The 26,149-nt window shown below is 43.8% G+C and overlaps 1 long non-coding RNA gene across 4 annotated transcripts in view; it reads right to left on the reverse strand.

Annotated features, from left to right (window-relative positions):
• Positions 1–2,021: 2,021 nt before the first annotated feature.
• The window catches only part of LOC105370913 (uncharacterized), a 36,339-nt gene continuing 12,211 nt past the window's right edge, over positions 2,022–26,149 (reverse strand). For 3 of the 4 annotated variants that reach the window (XR_932509.2, XR_932508.2, XR_932511.3), the window contains exons 2-3: positions 17,434–17,551; positions 2,022–2,340 (exon numbers count right to left, since the gene is read on the reverse strand). This is a non-coding gene — a long non-coding RNA (uncharacterized LOC105370913). Of the gene's footprint in view, positions 2,341–17,433; positions 17,552–25,057; positions 25,507–26,149 lie in introns of those variants that run through there. The other variant, XR_932510.3, reaches the window with a different exon arrangement.

Genomic DNA, 26,149 nt, shown 5'->3' on the forward strand with positions numbered 1-26,149 from the left:
TAATCCCAGTACTTTGGGAGGCTGGGGCAGGAGGATTGCTTGAGCCCAGGAGTTTTGGACCAACCTGGGCAACATGGCTAGACCCCATCTCTACAGTAAAAAAATACAAAAATTAGCCAGGCATGATGGCGTGCACCTATAGTCCCAGCTACTCGGGAGGGTGAGGTGGGAGGATTGCTTGATCCTGGGAGGCAGAAGTTGCGGTGAGCTGAGATCACACCACTGCACTCCAGCCTGGGAGACAAAGTGAGACCCTGTCTCAACAAAACAAAAGAAAACACCTTTGAAAAGAGATGGGGTAAAAAAGATCACAGAACAAAGAGTTAAAAAAAAAAAACAGATTGTTCTTTAATTAAGAACAACTAGGGCTGGGCAGAATTGAAGCTGTTTCCCCTGCCAGATGATTGGACACCTTGCCTTTTAGGAGCAGGGTCTGGATGGGAGTGGGGGAAAAGCTTCCTTCAAAACCAACTTTCAGAGAGTTGGATGCTTTTTGGAGAGGACTGAATTTGGATTAGGCATTCATATTTATTTCTGCCCTTTGCAGTCATGTCATGCAAGCTAAATCGTTTCTTAAAACCAGTATTTCCACCCCTTCCAAAAGGAACTTTATCATGTAAACTGAGCGCCTGCAATCCAACCCTATAATGACTTGATTCGTCCTGGGAAAGCTCCTGCCTTTAATCCTTTTCTCCCTCATCTCCTGGTGCCAGGAAGGGCCCCCACAGGACCCTCCCAGGTCTGGAGGTGTTCCTCACTGTCACTCTCTCCTCCTCACATCACCTGCTGGCCCCGAGGCCTTCTCAGTGATGGGGAGGGTTTGGCTAGAGCCTTAGCGGGAGGAAGCCAGGAGATGCTTCCCTAGGTCAATCCCTGGGCAGGCCCCACTTCCTTCATTTCCTCATTCGTTCATCCAGTTAACACATGCTTAGTGCTTCTCATATGCCAAGCACTGTGCTCTGCACTTCACTCTGTGAGCTCTGATAATAGGGACTAGTATTAGTTTTCATTTATGGATGAGGAAATCAAGGCTCAGAGGGGTTAAGTCACTTGCCTGAGACCACATGGTTAATGAGTGGCTTTGCTGTACTGGGGACCTAGAGTCTGAATCCAGCCAAGCGACTTCCAATGCCAAGCTCACACCAGATCCACACTCGGAGCAGAGGAAGCCACATTGCAGCGGAAAACAAGGGCTTCCTGGAAGTGGTATGTGGCCTGAGGCCAGGAAAGACCAGGCTGGGAGAGGGCTACTGACTGCTTACTGTAATCAGCTTCAGATTTTCGGCATCAACAAGGCAGAACCCCAGTGAGACAGGCCAGGGTGACAGGAGGCTCTTTGGTGACCCTGGATGGGCTCTGCTCATGGGGATTTGATCCCACCATTAGTTTTTGAGCTCTTGCCACATGCCAGACACAGGCCCTGCCCCAGGAATCCCACATATTATCATGTGCCATGGCCTGGGTCTCGGCTATGGCTTCAGTGGCTCATGTTCCCCTCTTCCTGGACACCCATCTTGGACGATCCTACAGCCTCAGGCCAAGGCATCCCCAGAATCCCCCCAAGCTTCTGGGCCCCTGCCTGGCAAGACTGATGCTGATCAGAGTCCTGCCCCATCCCCCTGCTCCCAGTCCAGGCCAGGGATGGCTTCTATTTACCTGGGTCTTCCCCGAGCTCAGCTGAGCTCCAGCTCATAGTGAATCACATGTTGGGAATCAGCTGAGAGCTGGCCCTGAAGATCCCTGAATAATGCATCAAAGCCCTTCTCCCCTGCAGAGCCATTAGGGTGGGGGTGAGGGGGATAATGCAGAGGAGTCAGTGTGTTTCCCACCCCAGGAAGAATACTAGGGTTCCAAAGGCCTTTGCCCTGGTGTGCATGGGCTTGAGACTCAAAGGTCCACAGGACTGGGTGACCCAGTACATAGGTAAACCAAGGCGGGTTTCGGATGACTACAAAACCAGTACATCCTCCAAAAGAGGGCAAAGGAGGTTCAGCTTCCAAATATTCAGACTTTTGCCATTGGAAACTTTAAGAAAACAAAACAACATTTTATTTTTAGCATCCATATAAAAGTTGTATTGCATGGTTTATGGTTTTGTTTTTATTTTGAATTTTCTCCCCTGTGCAGAAGCACCAAAGCATCTTCAGTGCTAAGACCTGGAAAAGTCGAAGTCCCTCCTGGAGATCCAGTCACACCACAGGAGAGCAGAGCTGGGGGTGCCTGCTGAGTTCACTCCATCCACCCCACCCCACTCCCAGAACCGTACAGGCTGAGCAGTCCAGGCCAATTCAGGTACCCTCTTCTGGCTCTATGAAGAAAGTCTAGGAAGGGAGTGGAGAGCTGCAGAGAAGAAAGAGGGAGGGGATCAGAAGGAGGAGGAGGAGCAAGAGGAGGAAGGGGAGGGGGAGGGGGAACAGAGTGCCAGACTGACAGAAATTTTTGCACCTCCTGGCATCCTGTTCCCACCCTGGGCCTAACTGAGCCTTCCCAGGTGCTATGCACTGAATGTTTGTATCCTGCATGATGAAATTAATGCCCTTATAGGAAGAAACACGAGCAAGTAGGCCTTCTCTCTCTCTCTTTGCCGTGTGAGGATATAGCAAGGAGGTTCCATAGGAGAAACCAAGAAAAGAGTCCTCACCCAACCCAAACCATGCTGGCAGCCTGATCTCCAACTTCCCAGCCTCTAGAACTATGAAAAATAAATGACTGTCTAAGCCACCTAGTAATTTGTTATAGCAGCCTGAGCTGACTAAGGCACCAGATCACTATGTGACTTGGCTGCCTACTCTCTCTCTTTGCTGTCCAGACTCTGGGGACCCTGGTTCTCTGCCCTTTCTCTAGCTCTCCTTCTCTGTGTGCCATCCTTCTCGCAGTCTGCAGCCTCTGCTGATCCTTAGTCCACTGCTCTTGGGCATCTCTTCCACCTGTGACCACTCTCTCCTCATTCCCTCTGGGATGAGCTCACTCCCCTTTGGTACCAATTACTATCTATGGCTGTGGGTCTTGACCTTGGATAGACTCTCCAGGGACTCTGAGTGATTGGTCTGGGTGCAGCCTGGCCATAGGGCATTCTGAAAGCTCCCCAGGCCATTCTAATATAGACCACTGGACAGTAAAGGGTTAGTTTGCTCAGCAGCCTTGGGTCACTCCAACCCTGCACATTCCAAAAAGAGGATTGGCCCTTGACCACATCTGGGGAGATAACTTTAGAATATTCTGCCTTTTATTTATTTATTTATTTTTTTTTTTGAGGTGGATTCTCACTCCATTGCCCAGGCTGGAGTGCAGCGGCACGATCTGGGCTCACTGCAAACTCTGCCTCCTGGGTTCAAGCGATTCTCCTGTCTCAGGTTCCCGAGTAGCTGGGATTGCAGGCACCCACCACCAGGCCTGGCTAATTTTTTTCTATTTTTAGTAGAGACGGGGTTTCGCCATGTTGGCCAGGCTAGTCTCGAACTCCTGACCTCAGTTGATCCACCTGCCTCGGCCTCCCAAAGTGTTGGGATTACAGGCGTGAGCCACCATGCCCACACCTGGCTGAATATTCTGCCTTGTAAGAATGTTTTTGTATGCCTGAGACTTTGGGCCTTGGTGTATCAATACGACTTCTTTAAGGACTGAAGCCTGAGTAGCTGGGGTCAGTCACCCAGGAGCTGCATGCCTGCATGACTGACCCCCCAAGAAAAACCTTGAACACTAAGGCTTGCCTGGGTGGGCTTCCCAGGTAGACAACACTTAGCATGTGCTGTCACACATCATTGCTGGGAGAATTAACCACTGTCTGTGCAACTCCACTGGGAAAGCATAACTGGAAGCTGGTGCCTGGTTTCTCCTAGACTTTGTCCCTTTTCCCTTTGCGGATTCTAATCTGTATCTTTTCCCTGTAATGAACCATGACCAAGGGTATAATGGCTTTTCTAAGTCCTTTGCATCCTTATAACAAATCATTGAGCCCATGGCTGGTCTTAGGGATCCTCTACACGACCACCAAGACCAGGAACACTGAGCTGCAGTATACACATTGCTGAGCCCCACTCCAGAGATTCTGATTCAGTGCACCTGGGGTGGGCTTAGCAGCCTGCCTGGTTAGTAAGTTCCCCAACACTCTGCTCTGCTCCCATTCAGTGAATACAGGCTGCATGGCTGCCTGTCCCCTCTCCCTACCCTCTAAAGGCCAGTCACCCAGTCCTCTCAACCATCTCCACAGTCTCATCTCTTCCTTCTTACCCTCCTCTTTGCTTCATCCCCCAGTTTCATTCCACTCGCCACACTGTAGCCAAATTAAAATCTGAGTCTGGCGTTTCCCTTTGGGAAGGTGCTCAGTAGCTACGTACATGTGTTCCAAACTCTTGGTGGCATTCAGGGTCTTTCTTGGCCTTTTCAGCCTCCCCTCTAACCACAACACATACTGTCCCTTCCAGCCTTGGGGAATTCCTTGCAGCCTCAGAATAGGAGGCCTCCTCCATCTGCAGTGCCCTTTGCCCCCCTCTCTACATCCTCTCCTAGTCTACTCACCAGCCTGGATTGCAATTGCTCATTTGCTTACCTGACCCCCCCTCTCTATGCCAGAACCTGGCAGCTTCATACAAGTCCCTTAATAACTATATGTTCAATGAATGAATGAATGAATGAATGAATGAATGAATGAATGAGAGTCTTGTTCATCTGAGTTCCCAAGGCCCAGCATGGTGCTTGGCACATGATAGGTTCAAATAAATGAGAGATGAATGAACAGCTTTTGCACCCCACCCTCAAGCCCACCTCCCTTCCTTTGTCTCCCCTCCTTTCTGTCATTCTCCTTTATCACTGAGGGTCCTTTTTTGGTTATACTCTGATTCTGCTACCCAGGGGCACTTCTGTGGAAAGCCTCAGCTGCCTCCTGATTGGTCCTTTTACCTCCAGCCCCAGCAGATAAGGAACTGAGAGCTTGCAGGGGGCAGCTGAGGAAGACTGCAAATCAGTGTCAAATATCTATGTAGAGCTGAACTTGATTTGAACCTCCCATAAGCCCAGGGAGGGTGGCAATATTCTCATCAATTTACAGATGAGGAAACTGAGGTTCAGAGAGGTTGAGTGTTTGCACATAGTAGCTTGATAGCAGAGATGGGATGAGAACACAGACCTTCAGCCATACATCTTTGTGCTCTTCCTTTTAGCCAGACACCAGGGGCCTTGAAGGCCACAAAAAAAGTATTTTGGCCTTTGGATAGTTCAGGGCTACATTCCCTTCGCCAGTCTTGTCTTCTTAAATTGCTACTTTTGATGCTGACTGATCTCCAGCCCCAGGTAAAATACACACAGTTTTGTCACTATGTCAAGCAGAAACAAGTTCAGTGCTGGGAAAGGAAGTCAAACTCTCCTTGGAAAAAGTCAGATGGGACGTACTACTTTTAGGCCCAGCTGGATGTGCAAGGAGAGAGCCCCCAGACCCCTGCCACAGGCGCCAGCTCCCTCACCAGCAGGGTGCACCAGTGTTTCTCCTTCTTCCCAGAGACCTTGCTCTGCCTGATAAAGCTCCAGCTCTTGGCAGGCACTCAAGGCCTTCACTATCTCACTGTGACTGTAGGTCAGACACATTCTAGATTGACAGAATATCGCCCATGGGGCTGAAACCCACAAAATACCTTCAGTGTTGGCCAGAGGGACTATGGGGTTTGGGTTGGCCCATCTCTTTGGGAACAGCTGAACTGAGAAATGCAAACCACCTTCCTGACTGCCCCGGGGAGGAGGAATCAGCAGGGTAGCATGGGAAACACATCTCGCAGCACTAGGCATGCAATGGATAATAATTACATCTGGTAAATGGGGTATCCATCACCTCAAGCATTTATCCTTTGTATCACAAACAATCCAATTACATTCTTTTAGTTATTTTGGAATGTATAAGTAAATTATTATTGACTACAGTCACCCTGTTGTGCTATTAATACTAGGTCATATTCTTTCTAACTAATTTTTTGTACCATTAACAACCCCCACTTCCTTACCATCACCCCACTACCCTTCCTAGCCTCTGGTTACCATCCTTCTACTCTATCTCCATGAGTTCAGTTATTTTAACCTTTAGCTTCTGCAAATAAGTGAGAACATGTGAAGTTTGTTTTTCTGTGTCTGGCTTAGTTCACTTAACATAATGACCTCCAGTTCCATCCATGTGGTTGCAATTGACACATAGACCAATGAAATAGAATAGAGAACCCAGAAATAAATTCATACATCTACAGGGAACTTATTTTTGACAAAATTGCCAAGAATACACATTGTGGAAAGGACAGTCTCTTCAATAAATGTTTCTGGGAAAATTGGATATCCATATGCAGAAGAATGAAATCAAGCCCCTATCTCTTGCCATATTAAAAAATCCAATTTTCTCAGCATCATTTATTGAAGAGACTGTTCTTTCCACAATGTGTATTCTTGGCATCTGTTTTTATGCCAGTACCATGTCGTTTTGACTACTTAGCTCTCTAGTATAATTTGAAGTCAGGTAATGTGATTACTCTAGTTTTGTTCTTTTTGTTTAGGATAGCTTTGTCTATGCTGGGTCTTCTGTAATTTCATATAAATTTTAGGATTTTTTTCTATTTCTGTGAAGAATGTCATTGATGTTTTGATAGACATTGCATTGAATTTTTAGATTGCTTTGGGTACTATGGACATTTTAACAATACTGATTCTTCCAATCCATGAACATAGAATATCTTTTCATTTCATTTGTGTCCTCTTCAATTTCTTGTATCAGTATATTGTTTTCATTGTAGAGAACTTTTACTTCTTTGGTTAATTCCTATGTATTTTATTTTATTTGTAGCTATTGTAAATGGAATTAATTTCTTGAATTCTCTTTCAGATTGTTCTCTGTTGACATATAGAAATGCCACTGAATTTTGTATGTTGATTTTGTATCCGACAACTTTACTGGATTAGTTTATCAGTTCTAATAGTTTTTTTGTGTGTGAGTCTTTAGGGTTTTCCAAATACAAGATTATGTCATCTGCAAATAAGAATAATTTGACTTCTTCCTTTCCAATTTGGATGCCCTTTATTTCTTTCTCTTATCTGTTTGCTCTAGCTAGGATTTCCAAAGCTATGTTGATTAACAGTGATGAAAGGTGATGAAAGTGGGTATGCTTGTTATGTTCCAGATCTTACAGAAGAGGCTCTCAGTTTTCTCCCATTCAGTATGAAACTAGCTGTGGGTCTGTTGCATATGGCTTTTATTATGTTGAGGCATATGCCTTCTATTCTCAGTTTTTCAAGGGTTTTCTAATCAGGAATGGATGTGAAATTTTATCAAATGCTTTTCCAGCATTCATTGAAATGATCATGTAGTTTTGTCATTCATTCTGTTGACATGATGTATCACATTGATTGATTTGTGTAGGTTGAACTGTCCTTCCGGGATGAATCCCACTTGGTCATGATGAATGATCTTTTTAATGTGTTGTGGAATTCAATTTGCTAATGTTTTATTGAGGATTTTTGCATCTATATTCATCAGTGATATTGGTCTGTATTTTTTGTTCTTTAATGTATCTTCAGTTTTGGTATCAGGGTAATACTAGCATTGTAGAATGAGTTTGGAAGTATTCCCTCCTCTATTTTTGGAATAGTTTGGGTAAGGTTGGTATTAGTTCTTTAGATGTTTGGTAGAATTCAGCATTGAAGCCATTGGTTCCCAGGCTTTTCTTTGCTGGGATAATTTTTATTGCTGCTTCGATTTCATTATTTGTTATTGGTCTATTCAGGTTTTGGATTTCATCATGGTTCAATCTTGGTAGGCTGGATGTATCTAGAAATTTATCCATTTTTAGTAGGTTTTCCTATTTCTTTGCATATAGTTGCTTATGATAGCCACTAGTGATCCTTTGAATTTTTGCGGTATCAGTTGTAATGTTTCCTTTTTCATCTTTGATTTTTTTTACTTCGGTCTTTTCTCTTTTTTTCTTAGTCTTAGGCTAAAAGTTTGTCAGTGTTGTTTATCTTTTAAAAAAAACAACTTTTCATTTCATTGATGCTTTGTATAGTTTCCTTCATTTCAATTTCATTTATTTTTGCTCTGATCTTTCTTATTTGTTTTCTTCTACTAATTTTGGGTTTGATTTGCTCTTGCTTTTCTATTTCTTTAAAATGTATTGTTAGGTGGTTTATTTGATGTTTTTCTACTTTTTAAAAGTAGATGTTTATAGCTGTAAACTTTCCTCTTACTACTGCTTTTGTTGTATCCCATAAGTTTTGGTGTGTTTTGTTTCCATTATCATTTGTTCCAAGAAATCTTTCAATTTCCTTCTTAATTTCTTCATTGACCCACAGCATATTATTTAATCTTCATATATTTGTATAGTTTCCAAATTTTCTGCTGTTATTAATTTCTAGTTTTATTCCATTGTGGCCAGAGAAGATGCTTGATATTATTTTAGTTTTTTTGAGTGTTTTAAGACTTGTTGTGTGACCTAAGATATGATCTATCCTTGAGAATGATCAATGTGCTGAGGAAAAGAATGTGTATTCTGTAGCCATTGGATAAAATGTTCTGTAAATATCTATTAGGTCCATTTATCTACAGTGAAGATGAAATTCAATGTTTCTATGTTGATTTTCTGTCCAGAAGATCTATCCAATGCTGAAAGTAGGGTGTTAAAGTCTCCAGCTATTATTGTATTGGGTCTATCTCTCTCTTTAGCTCTGATAGACTTTGCTTTATATATCTGGGTGCTCTAGTGTTGGGTGCATATCTATTTAAAATTGTTATATCCTATTGCTGAATTGACCTCTCTCTCTCGTTTTTTTTTTTGTTTTGTTTTTTTGTTTTTTTGATGGAGTCTCACTCTGTCCCCCAGGCTAGAGTGCAGTGTTGTGATCTCAGCTCACTGCAACCTCCACCTCCCAGATTCAAGTGATTCGCCTGCCTCAGCCTCCCGAGTAACTGGGACTACAGGCACGCGTCACCACACCCAGGTAATTTTTTTGTATTTTAGTAGAGACGGGGTTTCACAATGTTGGCCAGGATGGTCTCGATCTCCTGACCTCGTGATCTGCCCACCTTGGCCTCCCAAAGTGCTGGGTTTACAGGCATGAGCCACCGTGCCCAGCCCTGAATTGATCCCTTTATCATTATATAATGACCTTCTTTGTCTCTTCTTATAGTTTTTGTCTTGAAATTTATTTAGTCTGTTATAAGTATAGCCACTCCTGCTCTTTATTAGTTTCATTGGCATGGAATATCTTTTTCCATCCGTTTATTTTCAATCTGTGTGTGTCTTTGTAGGTGTAGTGTGTTTCTTGTAGGCAATAACTCATTGGGTCTTTTTTTTTTAATCCATTCAGCTACTCTTTCATTGGAGAGTTTAGTCCATTAACATTCAATATTATTATTGATCAGGCCTACAGGGCGTAAGGACTTACTCTTGCCCTTTTCTTATTTGCTTTCTAGTTGTTATGGTCTTCTCTTTCTTCTTTCCTTCCTTCCTTCCTTTCTTCCTTTTGGTGAAGGTGATTTTCTCTGGATGTAAAATTTAATTTCTTGTTTTTGTGTGTGTGTATTCATTGTATGTTTTTTTGATTTCAGATTACCAGGAGGCTTGCAAATACTATCTTATAACCCATTATTTTAAACTGATGACACCTTTATATTGCTTGCATAAAGAAGCAAACAAATAAGCAAAAAGAAAACACAAAAACTTTACACTTTCACTTTGTCCCTCAGCCTTTTAACTTTTTGTTGTTTCTATTTACATCTTATTGAGCTGTGTCTTGAAAAGTTGTTGTAGTTATTATTTTTGTTTGGTTTATCTTTTAGTCTTTCTACTGGAGTCATTTACACACAATAATTACAGTGTTATATTCTGTGTTTTTCTGTGTACTTACTATTACCACTGAGTTTTGTACCTTCAGATGATGTCTTATTGCTCGCTAATATCCTTTTGTTTCTGATTGAGGACCTTCCTTTAGCATTTCTTGTAGGATAGGTCTGGTGTTGATGAAATCCCACAACTTTTGTTTGTCTGGGAAAGTCTTTATTTCTCTTTCAGGTTTGAAGGATATTTTCGCTGGATATATTATTCTAGGGTAAAATATTTTTTTCTTCAGCACTTAAAATATGTCATGCCAGCCAGGCACAGTGGCTCACACCTGTAATCCCAGCACTTTGAGAGGCCGAGGCGGGTGGATCACAAGGTCAGGAGTTCAAGACCAGCCTGGCCAACATGGTGAAACCCCGTCTCTACTAAAATTACAAGCATTAGCCGGGTGTGGTGGCAGACACCTGTAATCCCAGCTACTCAGGAGGCTGAGGCAGGAGAATTGCTTGAACCCAGGGGGCAGAGGTTACAGTGAGCCGAGATCACGCCACTGTACTCCAGCCTGGGTGACAGAGCAAGACTCGGTCTTGAAAAAAAAAAAAAAAAAAAAAAAAAAAATATATATATATATATATATATATATATATATCACACCACACTCTCCTGGCCTGTAAGGTTTCCACTGAAAGTCTGCTGCCAGATGTATTAGAGCTCCATTGTATGTTATGTGTTTCTTTTCTCTTGCTGCTTTAGGATCCTTTCTTTATCCTTGACCTTTGGGAGTTTGCGTATTAAATGCCTTGAGGTAGTTTTCTTTAGGTTAAATCTGCTTGGTGTTCTATAACCTTCTTGTACTTGAATATTTATATCTTTCTCTAGGTCTGGAAAGTTCTCTGTTATTATCCTTTTGAATAAACTTTCTACCTCTGTCTATTTTTCTACTTCCTCTTTAAGGCCAATAACTCTTAGCTTTGCCCTTTTGAGGCTATTTTCTAGATCTTGTAGGCATGCTTCATTTTTTATTTTTTTGTCTCCTCTGTGTATTTTCAAATAGCTTGTCTTCAAGCTCACTAACTTTTTCTTCTGCTTGATCAATTTTACTATTAAGAGACTCTGATGCATTCTTCATTATGTCATTTGCATTTTTCAACTACAGAATTTCTGCTTGATTCTTTTTAATTATTTAATCATGTTAAATTTATCTGATAGAATTTTGAATCCTTTCTCTGTGTTATCTTGAATTTAAGTTTCCTCAAAACCACTATTTTTTTTTTTTGTTTTTTTTGAGACGGAGTCTCGCTCTGTCGCCCAGGCTAGAGTGCAGTGGCGTGATCTCGGCTCACTGCCAGCTCCGCCTCCTGGGTTCACACCATTCTCCTGCCTCAGCCTCCTGAATAGCTGGGACTACAGGTGCCCGCCACCATGCCTGGCTAATTTTTTGTATTTTTAGTAGAGACGGGGTTTCACCATGTTAGCCAGGATGGTCTCGATCTCCTGAACTCGTGATCCGCCCACCTTGGCCTCCCAAAGTGCTGGGATTACACTATTTTGAATTCTCTTTCTGGAAGGTTACATATCTCTGTTTCTCTAGGATTGGTCCCTGGTGCCTTAGTTTGTTTGATGAGGTCATGTTTTCCTGGATGGTCTTGATGCTTGTGGATGTTCATTAGTGCCTGGGCATTGAAGAGTTAGGTATTTACTATAGTATTCTCAGTCTGGGCTTGTTTGTACTCATCCTTGGGAAGGCTTTCCAGGTACTTGAAAGGATGTGGGTGTTATGATCTAAGCTGTATCTGTATTAGGGGACTCTCCAAGCCCAGTTATGCTATGGTGCTTGAAGACTCATAGAGGTATTGCCTTGGTGGTCTTGGATAAGATCTGGAAGAATTCTCTGGACTACCAGGCAGAGACTCTTATTCTTTACCTGTAATTTCTCCTAAATAGTTTCAGTCTCTCTTTCTCTCTCTCTCTCGCTCTCGCTCTCTCGCTCTCTGCTGAGCCACTTGGAGCTGGGAGTGGGCTGACACAACATCCCTATGGCCACCACCACTGAGACTGCACTGGGTCAGACCTAAAGCCAGCAAAGCACTGGGTCTCACTCAGGGCCCACTGTCAACACTACCTGGCTATCGCCTATGTTCACTCGAGGCCCTGGGGCTCTACAGTCAGCAGGTGGCAAAGCCAGCCAGGCTTGTGTCCTTCCCTTCAGGGCAACGAGTTCCCTCAGGCCCTGGTGGGTCCAGAGATGCTGTCTGGGAGCCAGGGACTAGAGTCAAAAACCTTAGAAATTTACCTGGTGCTTTATTCTATGATGGCTGAGCTGGCACTGAAACCATGAGACAAAGTCCTTGCCATTCTTCCTTCCCCATTCCACAGGAGGAGGAGCCTCACCCTGTGGCCACCTCCACAGGCCCACAGGGAGTGCTGCCAGGCTACTGTCAATGTTCACTTAGGGCCCAAGGGCTCTTCAGTCAGCCTGTGGTGAATGCTTCTAGGCCTGGGACTCACCCTTCAGGGCAGTGGGCTCCCCTCTGGCCCAGGGCAGGTCCAATAGCTTGTCTGGTCCAGGGCTTGTCTAATAGCCAAGGCCTAGAATCAGTAACCACAAGAGCCCATTTGGTGCTCTCTGCCCCATTGTGTCCAGGGAGGTACCTAAGCTGCAAGACAAAGTCCCTTTTACCTTTCCCTCTGCTTTTCTCAAGTAGAAGAAGTCTCTCACCACAGCCACCATAGCTGGGAATATGCTAGGTCTCACCTGAAGCCAGCATGTCTCAGAGCCTTACTCCAGGCCCAAAGCATACCACCTGGGTATCACTGTTGGCTCTGCAGGGCCCAAGGGCTCTTGAGTCAGCAGGTGATGAATCCTGCCAGGACTGGGTTCTTTCCTTCAAGGCAGCAGATTCCCTTTTGGCCCAGGGTGTGTCTAGAAATGTCACTTCAGGAGCTAGGTTCTGGAATGGGGGCCTCTCTACTCTGACTGGTGTTCTATCCTACTGTGGCTGAGCTGGTATCCAAGATGTAAGACAAAGTCCTCTTTACTCTTCCCCCTCCTCTCCTCAAGCAAAAGGAAGAAGTCAGTTTAGTTGTTGCAAGCTGCGCTGCCTGGGGTTGCGGGAGGGGTGGTGCAAGCACTCCCTTGGCTGCCCTGGCTGGTGTCTCTCTAGGTTGTGTGCCACCTGAGTCCACTGGCTCTGAGCCCAGCATGGCATCAGGACTTGACTAGGAGTTGAAGTCCTTATGGTCTAGACTGCCTTTCAAGTGTATTTAGGGCCCCAGGGCATAATAGCCTGCCATGCCAAGGCTTGTCAAAACCCAAGCCTCAAGCCTCCTAACTACTGGGATGGGTGAACCCCTCTGGGTAGGGCTGGTCTAAATGCTCCCTCCATGGGCAGGTGTCACATGAGTTCCACCTGGTTTCACTTTCTGCTGTGACAGGGCAGCACTGAGTTGAAGGCAGAGTCCCACAGTTGCTGCATTCTCCCTCCCCCAGGTGCACAGATTCTCAGCACCACAGCGGCCGCTGCTGGGAGATGGGAGAGGAATGGCCTCGGTGTTTCAAGACTGTCTCTCCTACCCTCTTCAGTGCCTCTTTCAGTGTTATGAAGTTAAACCCAGGTACTGTGAGTCCTCACCTGATATTTGGTTCTTATGATGATGCTTTTTTGGTGTAGACAGTTGTTAAATTTGATTTTCCTGCAAGGAGAATCACTGATGGAGACTGCTATTCAGCCATCTTGCTCTGCCCCTCCTCCCTCACTTAACTTTACCTCCTAAGAGCCCTGTTTCCAAATACAATCACATAGGGGTTAGGGCTCCAAGTGTGAATTTTGGGGAGACACAATTCAGTCTATAGCATTTGGACTTGGGAAGAGGGAGGAAGAGAATATTCAGAGGAAGGTCACAGTGTAAGCAACAGTATGGAGGTGGGAAAGTTCAGCTCATGGATAGGAAAAATTGATCCAAGTTGGCAGGGCCCACAGGGAGATGTGGTGGGGTGGTGAGAGGTGGCCACATCAAAAGAACCTTGAATGCCAGGCTGAGGTGGGAGGCATTTCCTGTCATGTAGAAGGTGCCATGAGGTGGTGGGGAGGGTAACAGGATGAAAGGATATTTGGGAGGATGGATCTGGCATCAGTGATGGGTAGGGGTAAGGAGTGAACAAAGCTGGAGGCCAGGAAACTGGACACATGGCCCAGAGTTCAGGGTTAGGCTCTTCAAAGGCAGTTTCCACACTGAGTTCCCATGTGGATCCAAGCATACAGGGGGTAGATGATTTGGAAAAGCAAAACCATTCTCTTCCCATTACCACACAGTTTCCCAGCTGAGCTCATCACCAGAGTCCTACAAATCAGACAGTCAACCTGCCCCAAACTCTTCCCCTAGAAGCTGTGACCCAGAAGGAGTCCTCATCGAGCTGTAGCCCAGGGACACCGCAGCCTGAGCAGGACTGCACCTGTTCCCCCCCAGGAGCCTCATCTCTGTCTGGCCTGGCTTTGGCTTCAAATGCCCTCAGCTTTGGCTTCAAAAACTGTTGAGTCAGATTCATGAGAGCTCTGGCCTTCTTCAGTTTAGGGATTTTTAAATAGTTTTTTTCAAGCAGGCAGTAGATGAGCTCTGCTTGCTTACCTCTAAGAATTGGCTAGAACTCACAGAAAGCTGTTATACTCATAGTTATGGCTTGATTACATGGAAAGGAGACAGATTAAAATCAGCCAGGGGAAGAAAGGCATAGTGCTGGGTCCAGGAGAGCACCAGGCATGGAGTGTCCATTATCCCTTCCCCATGCAGTCAGAGTGCATTACCCTCCCGGCTTTGCTATGTGCCAATACACATGGAGTATTCTCAGCCAGTGAGGCTCCCTCAAGCCTCAGTGTTCAGGGTTTTTATTGGAACTTCATCAAAGAGGCATGATTGATTGTCCATGTGGCTGCTCTCAGTTTCCAGTCTCCAGTCCTTTTAGGGGTGACCTAAAGCCTGGACTCTAAATCACATAGTCACTTTTCCTGGCTTGGCTAGTTCCCACTATCTTTTTTTTTTTTTCTTTTTTTTTTTTTTTGAGACGGAGTCTCACTCTGTCACCCAGGCTGGAGTGCAGTGGTGCGATCTCGGCTCACTGCAAGCTCTGCCTCCTGGGTTCACGCCATTCTCCTGCCTCAGCCTCCCAAGTAGCTGGGACCACGGGTGCCCACCATGACGCCCAGCTAATTTTTTGTATTTTTAGTAGAGACGAGGTTTCACCATGTTAGCCAGGATGGTCTCGATCTCCTGACCTTGTGATCCGCCCGCCTCAGCCTCCCAAAGTGCTGGGATTACAGGTGTGAGCCACCGCGCCCGGCCCCCACCATCTTATTATTAGACTATCCATCATGACCCAAGATCCCCAGGCAAAGATATTCCTATCAGGCATTACGTGTTGAAGATTACCTCCCAGGAGTCTAGGACAAAAGCCAGACCTTTTTTTGGTCAAGCTTAATTTTTTAACATGTCATCATTCTGTTATCCTTCCTATCTGTTTTATCTTCAAAATAACCCTAATTGATGGGTTATTTTGGTTATCTATAATAAACATAAGAATGTTTATTATAGATGAGATCTCAAAAGGAAGGACACTTGAGCAAAGTTGCACAGTTGATCCTTGACTCATGGTACAAGACTCTTTCCACTACTCTGAGAGCCCTGAGTCCTGAGAAGAAGATGGAAGGAAGGTGGGTATACGTGTGTGTGCACGTGTGTGTGTGTGTAAATGTATTTCTAATGAGTATGTGTGGATATATGTGTGTCTCTGTGTGTGTGTATACATGTGGAGGTCTGTGTGTCTATATGTATGTTTGTGTGTGTGTGTGTGTGTGTACACATGCTCAGGGGGAAGGTTAAAGAGAAAATCAGCAGGGTGCAGTGGTGCACACCTGTAATGCCAGCTACACAAGAGGTAGACAGGGGAGGATCACTTGAGCCTGGGAGTTTGAGAGAGAGAAAATTTCAATAATCTTCTTCTTGCAGTTAGAAGGAAAAACCTGGGGCTGAGCATAAAGAGACATAAAGCACAGCATAAAGAGGCAGAGAAATGTCTAAGGGAGAACAAGTGACCAAGAATTAATTAGTTCATCTATAAAGAAATAGAGCACTTTAGCAGCAGAATAAAACTGGAAGATAATTTCCTCTAGAGCCCTGATAATCTTTGTGAGAAAACTGTTGGTCACATTAATTGCAAAAACTTGCAGGACTCTCTGCAACAGAACTGGCTAGTAAAACCATCTTTATAAAACTCACTATGCTACAAGTGGCATTCAACTCTTTCTCAACCAAGATTTCACAAACCTATCTCCAGCTTCCAGATGGTGAGGGAAAGTGTGATGAGACTTTATGATAAATTGTGCCTGTCTCTGAGCCCATCTCCTCCCGTTGAAGAGGAGGAAAATGAGGATAGCACATTATAACCCTGCCTGACAAAAGTCACAAGATAAGCAAATAATTATTATTAAAACCAGAGAGTCCTATAATTTATTCATGAATCCCACACATTCTATATTAGATCTTCCATTTCAATTTCTTGTATTCTTTGAAGCAAATTTATAAGATTTGAATTATTCAGAAAAGCTCCCAAGCTAATATAAGAAAACACTTTAACCACAGGAAGTATCATGCTACACAATATGGTGTGGTGGTGAAGGGTGCAGGCTCTAAAACCAGAAAACCCAGGTTCAAGTCCTGGCCCTACCACCTTGGGAGAGTTACATGGTCTCTCTGTGCCTCCATTTCCCCATCTAAAATGTGGGGATGACAATAATAGTGTCTATTTCACAGAGTTGTTTTGAGGAAAATAATATATGTAAAGCACTGTGAACAGCAGTCAGTGCTATGTAAGTGTTTGCTCTAGTTATTTTAACATTTTGGATTATAAATATCTACCCTGTTATTCAGATGACAAGCATCCCTAAGCTGATAACATGATGAAGAGCTCTTGTGTTCCTTGATTTTCCCTCAGCTTTGTGAGGAAAAGAATACCACATGAAGAAGAACAACTCAAGCAGGGGTGAGAAGGAAACTTGGCTTAAGTTTGGGGGGCTTGAGTTTATTAGGCTTTTGTCTTCTAAAAATCTCCTAAGCTTCATTGATAAGATGTTTAATATCAATCTAGCTAAAAAGGACCAATATACCCCACAAAACACTGAGTTAGACATAAAAACAGAAGGGTAATAAATGAAATATGGAAAACTACACAACCAGAAAAATAAACAACTACCAGTACCCAAAACATGGCTAAATCTCACAGGATTATGTTGAGTGAAAGAAGCCAGCCACAAACCTGCACATACTGAATGATCCCATTTATATGAAGTTCAAGAACAGGTGAAACTAATCCATGGTGACAGAGGTCAGGATCCTGGTTAACTTTGCAGGGACAGCAACTAAGAAGGCGCAAGAGGGAGCCCTCTGTGCTGATGGGAACATTCTGTATCTTGAGCTGAGTGGCGGTCACATGAGTGTGCACATATGTAAATAGTAAGGAGTTGTAGCTTAAGGTATATGCACCTCGCTGTATGTAAGATACTGTCTTAGTCCATGTGTGCTGCTGTAACAAAATATCTGAGACTGGGTAATGTGTAAAGAACAAAAATGTATTTCTCACAGTTCTGGTGGGTGGGAAGTCCAAGATCAAAGCGCCAGCAGGTTTGTAGTCTAGTGAGGGCTGCTCTCTGCTTCCAAGATGGCACCTTGAATGCTGAGTCCTCCAGAGGTGAGAAACGCTGTGTCCCAGCATGGTGGAAAGAACAGAAAAGCAAAAGAAGAAAACTGAGCTAGGTCGCTCCCTCAAGCCCTTTCATAAGGTCGCTAATCCCATTCATGAGGGGGCTCCTCCCTCACGATTTAGTCATCTCCTAAAGACACCACCCCTTAATACTATCACATGGGGGTTTAAGTTCCAACATGAATTTTGGAGGAGACACAAACATTCCAACCATAGCAAATATACTTTACTAAAAAGAAAAAAAAAGGAAAATCTTGTCTCTAAACATGATATTTTAAGTGTTTATATATTTACAGCCCAATTTTCTGCTTGCTTACATAGATATTTGTGACCATGAGTGTCATTCTTAGCTGAGAAAATGTTCAGTAAATTTAAAAAAGCCTCACATTATCTATTAATATCTTACTCAGATAAGATCAAATTTCTAACCTAGATTTTAGGTTAAGATAGAAACCCATGGTCATTTGCTGCAATGTGAGAATGACACAGAGAGATATTAATTAGCAGAATTCCACTATAAAACTAAATTTAAGGGCACAGTTCTCTACTAATGACTCCTCCAGACAAATCAATTACTTGGATATCAATGAATCAACTAAAAATGGAAGTGAGAACAGTTTGAGTCCTTTTTGCAATGGATGGATGTTTACGAGACTATTAAGTGAAGACGGTTCAGAAACAAGGAGATAAATGGCATGCTAATTTGGGGTTGAATGGAGTAATGGGGTGATCTTGGAAATATAAGAATCCTGCTTAATGGGGCTTGTCTGCTTGTAATTTGATAAACTAATATATGTAAATTCAATGAGATAAAGGACATGAGCACTCAGAACAAAATTACAGGAATAAATTTAGCAAAGAGGCACCAAAGTTGAGATAAGGGTCACTGTTCCACGTCTGACATCTTTAATTCTTGAGTCATGGGGATGGTAAGCCAGAGAACAGAGTCTTCTGACTGGAAGCTAAAACCAGCCTTTGGGGTGGGTTCAGAGACACTGTTCAGACTCAAGATGCGAAAGCAGATGTTGCCCTGTTGAAAATATCCCAATTGCAAGGGCATTTTCAAAGACAGTGGTGCTTGGGGGAAAGAGAATGCTGTGTGTTTAAAAAGAAAATAAATTAAAAGAAAGAATGGAAACAAGGAAGAAAAAGTGACCGGAGGGTAGGGTTGCAATATGTTCTGGTTTGCAAGGTACAGCTAAGGTTATGTCTGTTGTGCCGGTGCAATTATAATAGTGTCCCTTTCACTCTCCGAAGAATTTGGATGATAAAGCATATGATCACCCTACCAAAGAGAGGAAATGAGCCAGACGACCCATGTGTCTATTTCAAACAGTGTGGACTGATCCGCAGCCCTGTGCCACTGCCCAGATGAGCGGTGTGCACAACCTCTGCCTTGCCCTACCCCGCCCTGCTCGGGTCTCCAGGAAGGCTGGAGCGGAACCCTCGGCTCCCGCGCTGCTCTGGTGCCACCTGCAGGTTATATGCGGGAACTGCTTCTCTCCACCCTACTACCCTCCACCCAGCCTCCCGACCCCGACCCTGGATAGCCTTGGACTTGGCCAAAAGACATTCAGAGCACACGAAGCCCTGGCTGGGGAGTGGGCTGGACCCTGCAATGAAGCCCGCGTTACAGAATCAGACGAGCCCAGCTTAAACCAACAAGGCCAAGCTCCTCCTCTTCCTACCCACTCCTGTCCTGTCTCATTTTGTAGACGGGAAACTGAAGCCTAATTCAGATTTTTCGTTGGTAGGATTGTGAAGCATACAGCTGGAGCCTCCCAGGTGCCATTCCCCACATCTGTCTTTCCGCTACCACTTTAGGATAGTGAGGAAGCAAGAGAGCTTAAGCTTACTAAGCTCCTACTGTGTACTGGGCACAGAGTGGACACTTTTCTCTCCAGCCTCGCAATTGATGGGAAAGAGGTGATTATACAACTAGGAGACAGGATCAGAGTGGGCTAGCGATGTGCTTACAGTCTCTCAGCTGAAACTGGAACCCAGGGGTCTTTGACTGTAAAGCTAGTGCTCGTTTTGGGTCTCCAGCTTGAGCAATAGTTGCAAAATGCAAAGAGCACCTGAAAATCTAATATCAATCCATATAAGACTGTATTGTAAACAGAAACATGGAGTGTCTTTGTGGGGGTGATGGCAAGGTGGGGAGATTATCTCAATTCTATGTAACCTGGGAACTCTTGGAGGAAAATGAAGCATGACTGAGTGCAATTTGTCTGATAAACAAAATCTGTCAGGACGTGGGACCTTATTGGTCCTGGGTAGTGAAGGTAAGAAATCATGGTGCTGGACCTTTCTTAAAGTGCTTATAAAATCACTCAGGGCCTCAGTGCCTCCACCTTCTCCATGACCCCAGGCAGTTTCCCCATCTGTCTTCATCCTACTGCCTGGCACACTATCCATCAAACTGCTTTTGGGGTTATGTCTCAATAAAACAAAAATCATGGTGGGAGTCATTTACACCCTAGTGAGAGTCATCTAAGATTCCCTTTTCTTCTCAGACCTTTTAGCTGAAGTTGGTTATGAGAGAGGATGGGGAGGGGGAAAAGGGTTGGGGCGAGCACTCTTGGAGCTTGCACTGTTTCTTGCCGGTGCCCAGGCACAATGCGAATATGTCAGTCTAAATGGAGAGCTCCATGCATGTTCCTCTCTAATCCGTTTGTCACCAATACCAGTTCCCAAGGCAGAGCCCCAGGAGGGCTGGACTGAAGGACCTGGAGGTAATAGAAAACAACTTGGCTTTGGGTTTCAGGTCAAGCTGTGCCATGACTTGCTGTGTAACATCAGACAAGTCAGTTCACCACTCTGCACTTCAGTGACCTCATCTGTAAAAGGCTGGTCTGGACTAGATTAATGATTTTCTTTAGGTTTTGCAATTGTTTTGTTGTTGTTGTTTTGTTTTGTTTTGTTTTGAAACGGAGTCTCACTCTGTTGCTCAGGCTGAAGTGCAGTGGCACGATCTCAGCTCACTGCAACCTCTGCCTCCTGGGTTCAAGTGATTCTCCTGCCTCAGCCTCCCAAGTAGCTGGGATTACAGGTGTGTGCCACCACACCTAGCTAATTTTTGTATTTTTAGTAGAGATGTGGTTTCACTACATTGGCCAGGCTCATCTCCAACTCCCAACCTCAGGTGATCCACCTGCCTCGGCCTCCCAAAGTGTTGGGATTACAGGCGTGAGCCACCGCACCTGGCCTGCAATTGTTTTTTGTTTTAACATTATATTCAATTCTTCCTCCATCTTTATTAAAGTATAATTGATAAATAAAAATTGTGTATGTTTACAGTGTTCAATGTGATGTTTTGATATGTGCATACATTATGAAATGATTAAATCAAGTTAACATTTTCATCACCTCACATACTTTTATTATTATTTTTGTGGTAAGAATATTTAAGATCTATTTGCTTAGAGTAGTGTTTACTAGAGGTGAGGAAGGGTAAGGGAGAGGGGGTAGCCAAAGGTTGGCTAACAGGTTAAGAGATACAAGAGTACATGGCTGGTGGCTAACGCCTATAATCCTACCCCTTTAGGAGGCTGAGGTGGGAGGATCACTTGAAACCAGGAATTTGAGACCAGCCTGGGCAACATAGGGGGATCCCATCACTATAAAAAATTTAGAAATTAGCCAGGCATGTTGGTGCATGCCTGCGGTCCCAGCTACTCTGGAAGCTGAGGTGGGAGGATCACTTGGGCCCAAGAGGTCAAGGCTGCAGTGAGCTGTGATTGCACCACTTCACTCCAGCCTAGGGGGCAGAGTGAGACCCTGTCTGAAAAAGCAAAAGACAAACAAACAAACAAACAAAAAACCCCAGCTAGATAGGAGGAATAGTTCTAGTGTTTTTTTGCACTATAGGGTGATGATAATTGATGACAATTTATTATATATTTTCGAATAGCTAGAAGAGTGCATTTTGAATACTCCCAGAACAAAGAAAGGATAAATGTTTGAGGTGGTGGAGATGCTAATCGCCCTGATTTAATTATTACATATTGTATACATGTATAAAAATATTATACTGTACCCCACAAATACGTACAATTATTGTGTCAATTAATAATAATAAAAGCAAAAAATCTTCTTTTAGCAATTTTCAAGTATATATTATTATTAACTATAGTCATTCTGTACAACAGATCTCCAGAACTTATAACATTATATTTAATTTCAATCAAAGCGCTAGATACACAGAGTTAAGAACAAAATGGGGCTGGGTGCGGTGGCTCACCCAGTGGATTACGCCTGTAATCCCAGCACTTTGGGTGGATCACGAGGTCAGGAGATCGAAACCATCCTGGCTAACATGGTGAAACCCCACCTCTACTAAAAGTACAAAAAAAAAATTAGCTAGGCCTGGTGGTGTTCGCCTGTAGTCCCAGCTACTCCGGAGGCTGAGGCAGGAGAATTGCTTGAACCTGGGAGGCGGAAGTTGCAGTGAGCCAAGATCATGCCACTGCACTCCAGCCTAAGTGCCAGAATGAGACTTTGTCTCAAAATAAATAAATAAGTAAATAAAAATAAAATTTTAAAAAGGAACAAAATGGTATCTGGAGCAAGAAATCCTCAGTACAAAAAAAAAAGGAAGAAGAAAAAAGAACAAAATGGTAATAATAGGCTTATATCAAAAAGCATTTCCTATGCCCTTTCTTTTCTTGCCTTTGTGTTGGGAGAAAGGCTGAGTGCTGGGAGAGAAGCCGAGGTGGGCTTGGAACATGTCCGGGGTCCGGGGTCCGGGGTCTAAAACCTCTCATGGCCTTTGGAATGTGTCTAGACTTGCTGGCTCCTTGCTTCTAGCACTCCCATTATCTCAAGTAGCCATATGTTTCAAAGAAAATGCTACACCATCACAGCTGTAGCTTATATGCTTGATATGTCACTTCCTTTCAACCCCCACATCCTCACCACCTGCTTCTTTTTTTGATCACCAATAAATAGTGTGGGCTCCCAGAGCTCAGGGCCTTCACAGCCTCTATACTAGTGTTGGCCCCCTGGTCCCACTTTCTCTCTCAACTTGTCTTTCCTCATTCCTTTGACTCCACCGGACTTTGTAGCCCCCACGTCCTGGTGTTGAGTCTGATCACCCCAACACCTTTGTATCCTAATTCCCAGAGGCCGTCACTTTAAATTCATTTTGCTACTTCCTCTGGTATTTGCATCATATTTCTAAAGAATGTTTACGTTGCTATTTCTTGATTTGTTTTCTTCAGTATCTGTCTACTTCCTGGAATAGCACAGTATAGGGCTTACCTCCCTTATGAGGTCTTAACAGTTTCCTTGCCTCCATTCTACCAATTTCACTGGATCAAAATCTTGTGAAATCAAAAGCATTTACATTCTTGTAGATATCTAAATTTTGTTTCCTAAGCCAAGTCCTGCACTGAAATTGTTTCATTTCTTCCTTTTTTTCCCCCTGGAGTTAATAATTGCTTCAAATTTTTTCCCTTCGTTTGCTTATATGTTTTTGTACCTATTAACTACCTTTCTTTCAGTTACTCCAACTGATCTATGAAATGCCTGGTAATAATTATCTAAAACTAAGATACACGAGCTACTCTATCAGCCCTGTTATTTTCCTGGAGGCTTCCCTCTCTCCCTTGCCCTCCATCCTTATGCTCCAAACTGGACTCAGCTCTCAGCCTGTGGCATGGCTGGCATTCTGACATGTCTCTGCACCATTGTGTGAATTTCCTGCTGCCTCTTCTGTGTGCATCTCCTGTTCCCTTGCCCCAGATCTTCTTTTTCCCTGGTTCACTGTCTCATTATGTTGCAGTACATCTTCCAGTGGCTTCCTGAAAAGCAGTGAATGGAAGCCAAGCTTTCTTACCTTCACATATTTTAGAATGTCATTGTTCTACCCCAACTCCTGATTAACAGTTTGGCTGGATATAATGCTCTAATTTGAAAGTAACTTCTCACATTGGGAAATACTGCTCTATTATTTTCTAGTTCCCAGTGTTGTTGGTAAGAAGTCAGTATCGTGCAGAATCTTGGCTCTTTACATGTGACCTGTCTTTTCTCTCTGGAAGATATTAGGATTTTCTATCTTTGGATTTCTCAATGATGTGCCTTGTTGTAGGTCTTTCCTCATTCACTTTGCTAGTCACTTGGTAGACTCTTTTGAATTAGAAAATTTTGTGCTTCTATTGCGGGAAGCCACGAGCAGGTTTGAGTGAGCTGGGTAATCACATTCTTTTCTTCCAAGGACAGAGGTATCAAGGCCCTGGGAACCTTATAAGTGGATGGGGAGAAAGGGGGCCTGAGGTGAATCCAACAAAGCTGCAGCATCCTCTGAGCTCATGTCCCAAGGCTAGGCTCTGCCTGAGGACAGGAGACATGGGTGAGACCCACTTCCTGCCCAGTCTCATAGTGGGGCTCAGGACACACATGGTCCAGGAGGTTCCCAGCCCCAGCTACATTTACATGCACCTACCTGCATGCAGCAATCAGTGAGCCACAGGACAACTTAGGGGAAGGGGCAGCTCCAGAGAGCAGGATAGGAGGGAGGTAAATGATTATGGGTGGGGAGTGGCCTTGTGAGGAAGGGGCAAAGTCAGGGCTCTGTGTGTGTGTGTGTGTGTGTGTGTGTGTGTGTGTGTTGTGTTGTGTATTGGGGGAAATGGGGAGAATATTTTGTCTGCCCCCTTTTCTGGCCACTGCACCCCTTTTTTCATGAATAGTTTTTCTTCCCATCATGGACTGAGTGTCTCTGTCTCCTCCAAATTCATATGTTGAAGCCCTAACCCTCTGCATGGCTGTATTTGCAGATGAGGCCTCTCAGGAAGTCATTAAGTTTGAATGAGGTCCTAAGGGTGGGGCCCTGATTCAGTAGGATTAGTGTCCTTATAAGACAAGACACCAGAGGGTGCACTCACTCTCTCTCTGCACAAATACAAAGAAGAGGTCACATGAGTGCACAATATGGCAGCCACCTACAGGCCAAGAGAAGAGGCCTCAGAATGAAACCTACCTTGCTGGCACTTTGGTCTTGGATTTCCCAGCCTCCAGAACCGTGACAAATAAATGTTTGCAGTTTAAGCCACCCATCTGTGGTATTTTGGCATGGCACCCTGAACTGACTAATACATCTCCCGGCCCTGCTTCAACCACATGACACTAGAGGGCTTGGCAGTTTTAGCGTCCCAGCTACCCAGCCAACCCAGACCAGACCAAGCAGAAACTTTCTTCTGGAATTTTTTTGTTTGTTTTTTTGAGACGGAGTCTCACACTGTCGCCCAGGCTGGAGTGCAATGGCACAATCTCAGCTCACTGCAACCTCCGCCTCCTGGGTTCAACTGATTCTCCTGCCTCAGCCTCCCGAGTACCTGGGATTACAGGCATCTGCCACCACGCCCGGCTATTTTTTGTATTTTTAGTAAAGACAAGGTTTCAACATGTTGGATAGGCTAGTCTGGAACTAGTGACCTCAGGTGATCCACCCGCCTTTGCTTCCCAAAGTGCTGGGATTACAGTCATGAGTCACCACACCGACCTATTTAAGCTGATTCTTTAAGGGTGAGTAGAAATTTTTTCCAGGTGAATAAAACCTTGAGATATTCCAAGCAGAGACCAGCAGGTGCAAAGACACAGGGATATACAGATGTTGAAATTTACCAACCACTGCTAGATTAGAAAAAACAAAAAGGAAACAATCAAAATAAAAATTTAAAATTAAAAATCACCTAAAAAAAAAACTAGGAATGGGCTTGGCCAGAGGTCACATTGCAATTGAGTTAACTATGACCATAGACACTCAGTAATGGATGGAAGTTTTAGGGAAAAACATAACATTCTCAGGTTGTTGCAGAGTATCTAGAACAATTTAGAAATACAGGCATTGAATTCTGGGAATAGTTACACTGTAGTGAAATCATGTCCTTCTCTGCATATGAAGCATATATGTGTCACACTGTTCAAAGTGCTGAAAATCAGACTCTTCTCAAGGAGCTCATGAGCAATCAAGGGAGATGGATGGGGGAGCAACTGATTATCATGTGACAAGTGAGGTAATAGAGATATGACTAAGATGCTATCAAAACAAGAATAAAGGAATTATTCATAATATATGGAGTGCTGGGGAAAGATTTCTCAAATGAAGCCAGCTGGGCGTGATGTCTCACACTTGTAATACCCACACTTTGAGGGGTGGAAGTGGGAGGATCCAGGAGGATCTAGGAGTTCAAGACCAGCCTGGTCGACAGAGCAAGGCCCTGCCTGACTCTATATTTGAAAAAAAAAAATTTTTTTTAAATAAAGTGATATTTGAGCACTCTGGAGCACCATACAAATATAGGACAGACAAGGAATGTATCCAGCTTAATTTGGGTTAACATTTTTTTGAAATTTTATATTGCAAAAATAGTACATATTCACTGTTGTGAAATTAGGAAAAATTGATAGGCAAGGAGGGAGGTCTACAAAGCTCTCCATAGATCCACTGTACTGAGACAATGCTTAATGCTTTGATGGATTTATTGTATACTTTCTATGCATATGCATGTAATGTATACATACATGTGCATGGTTAAATAGACATGGTTCTCCTTGGTGTTCTGTTTATCCATGTATTGTTATGAAGTAAATC

This window comes from Homo sapiens, chromosome 15, assembly GCF_000001405.40.
Source record: "Homo sapiens chromosome 15, GRCh38.p14 Primary Assembly".
NCBI lineage: Eukaryota > Metazoa > Chordata > Mammalia > Primates > Hominidae > Homo > Homo sapiens.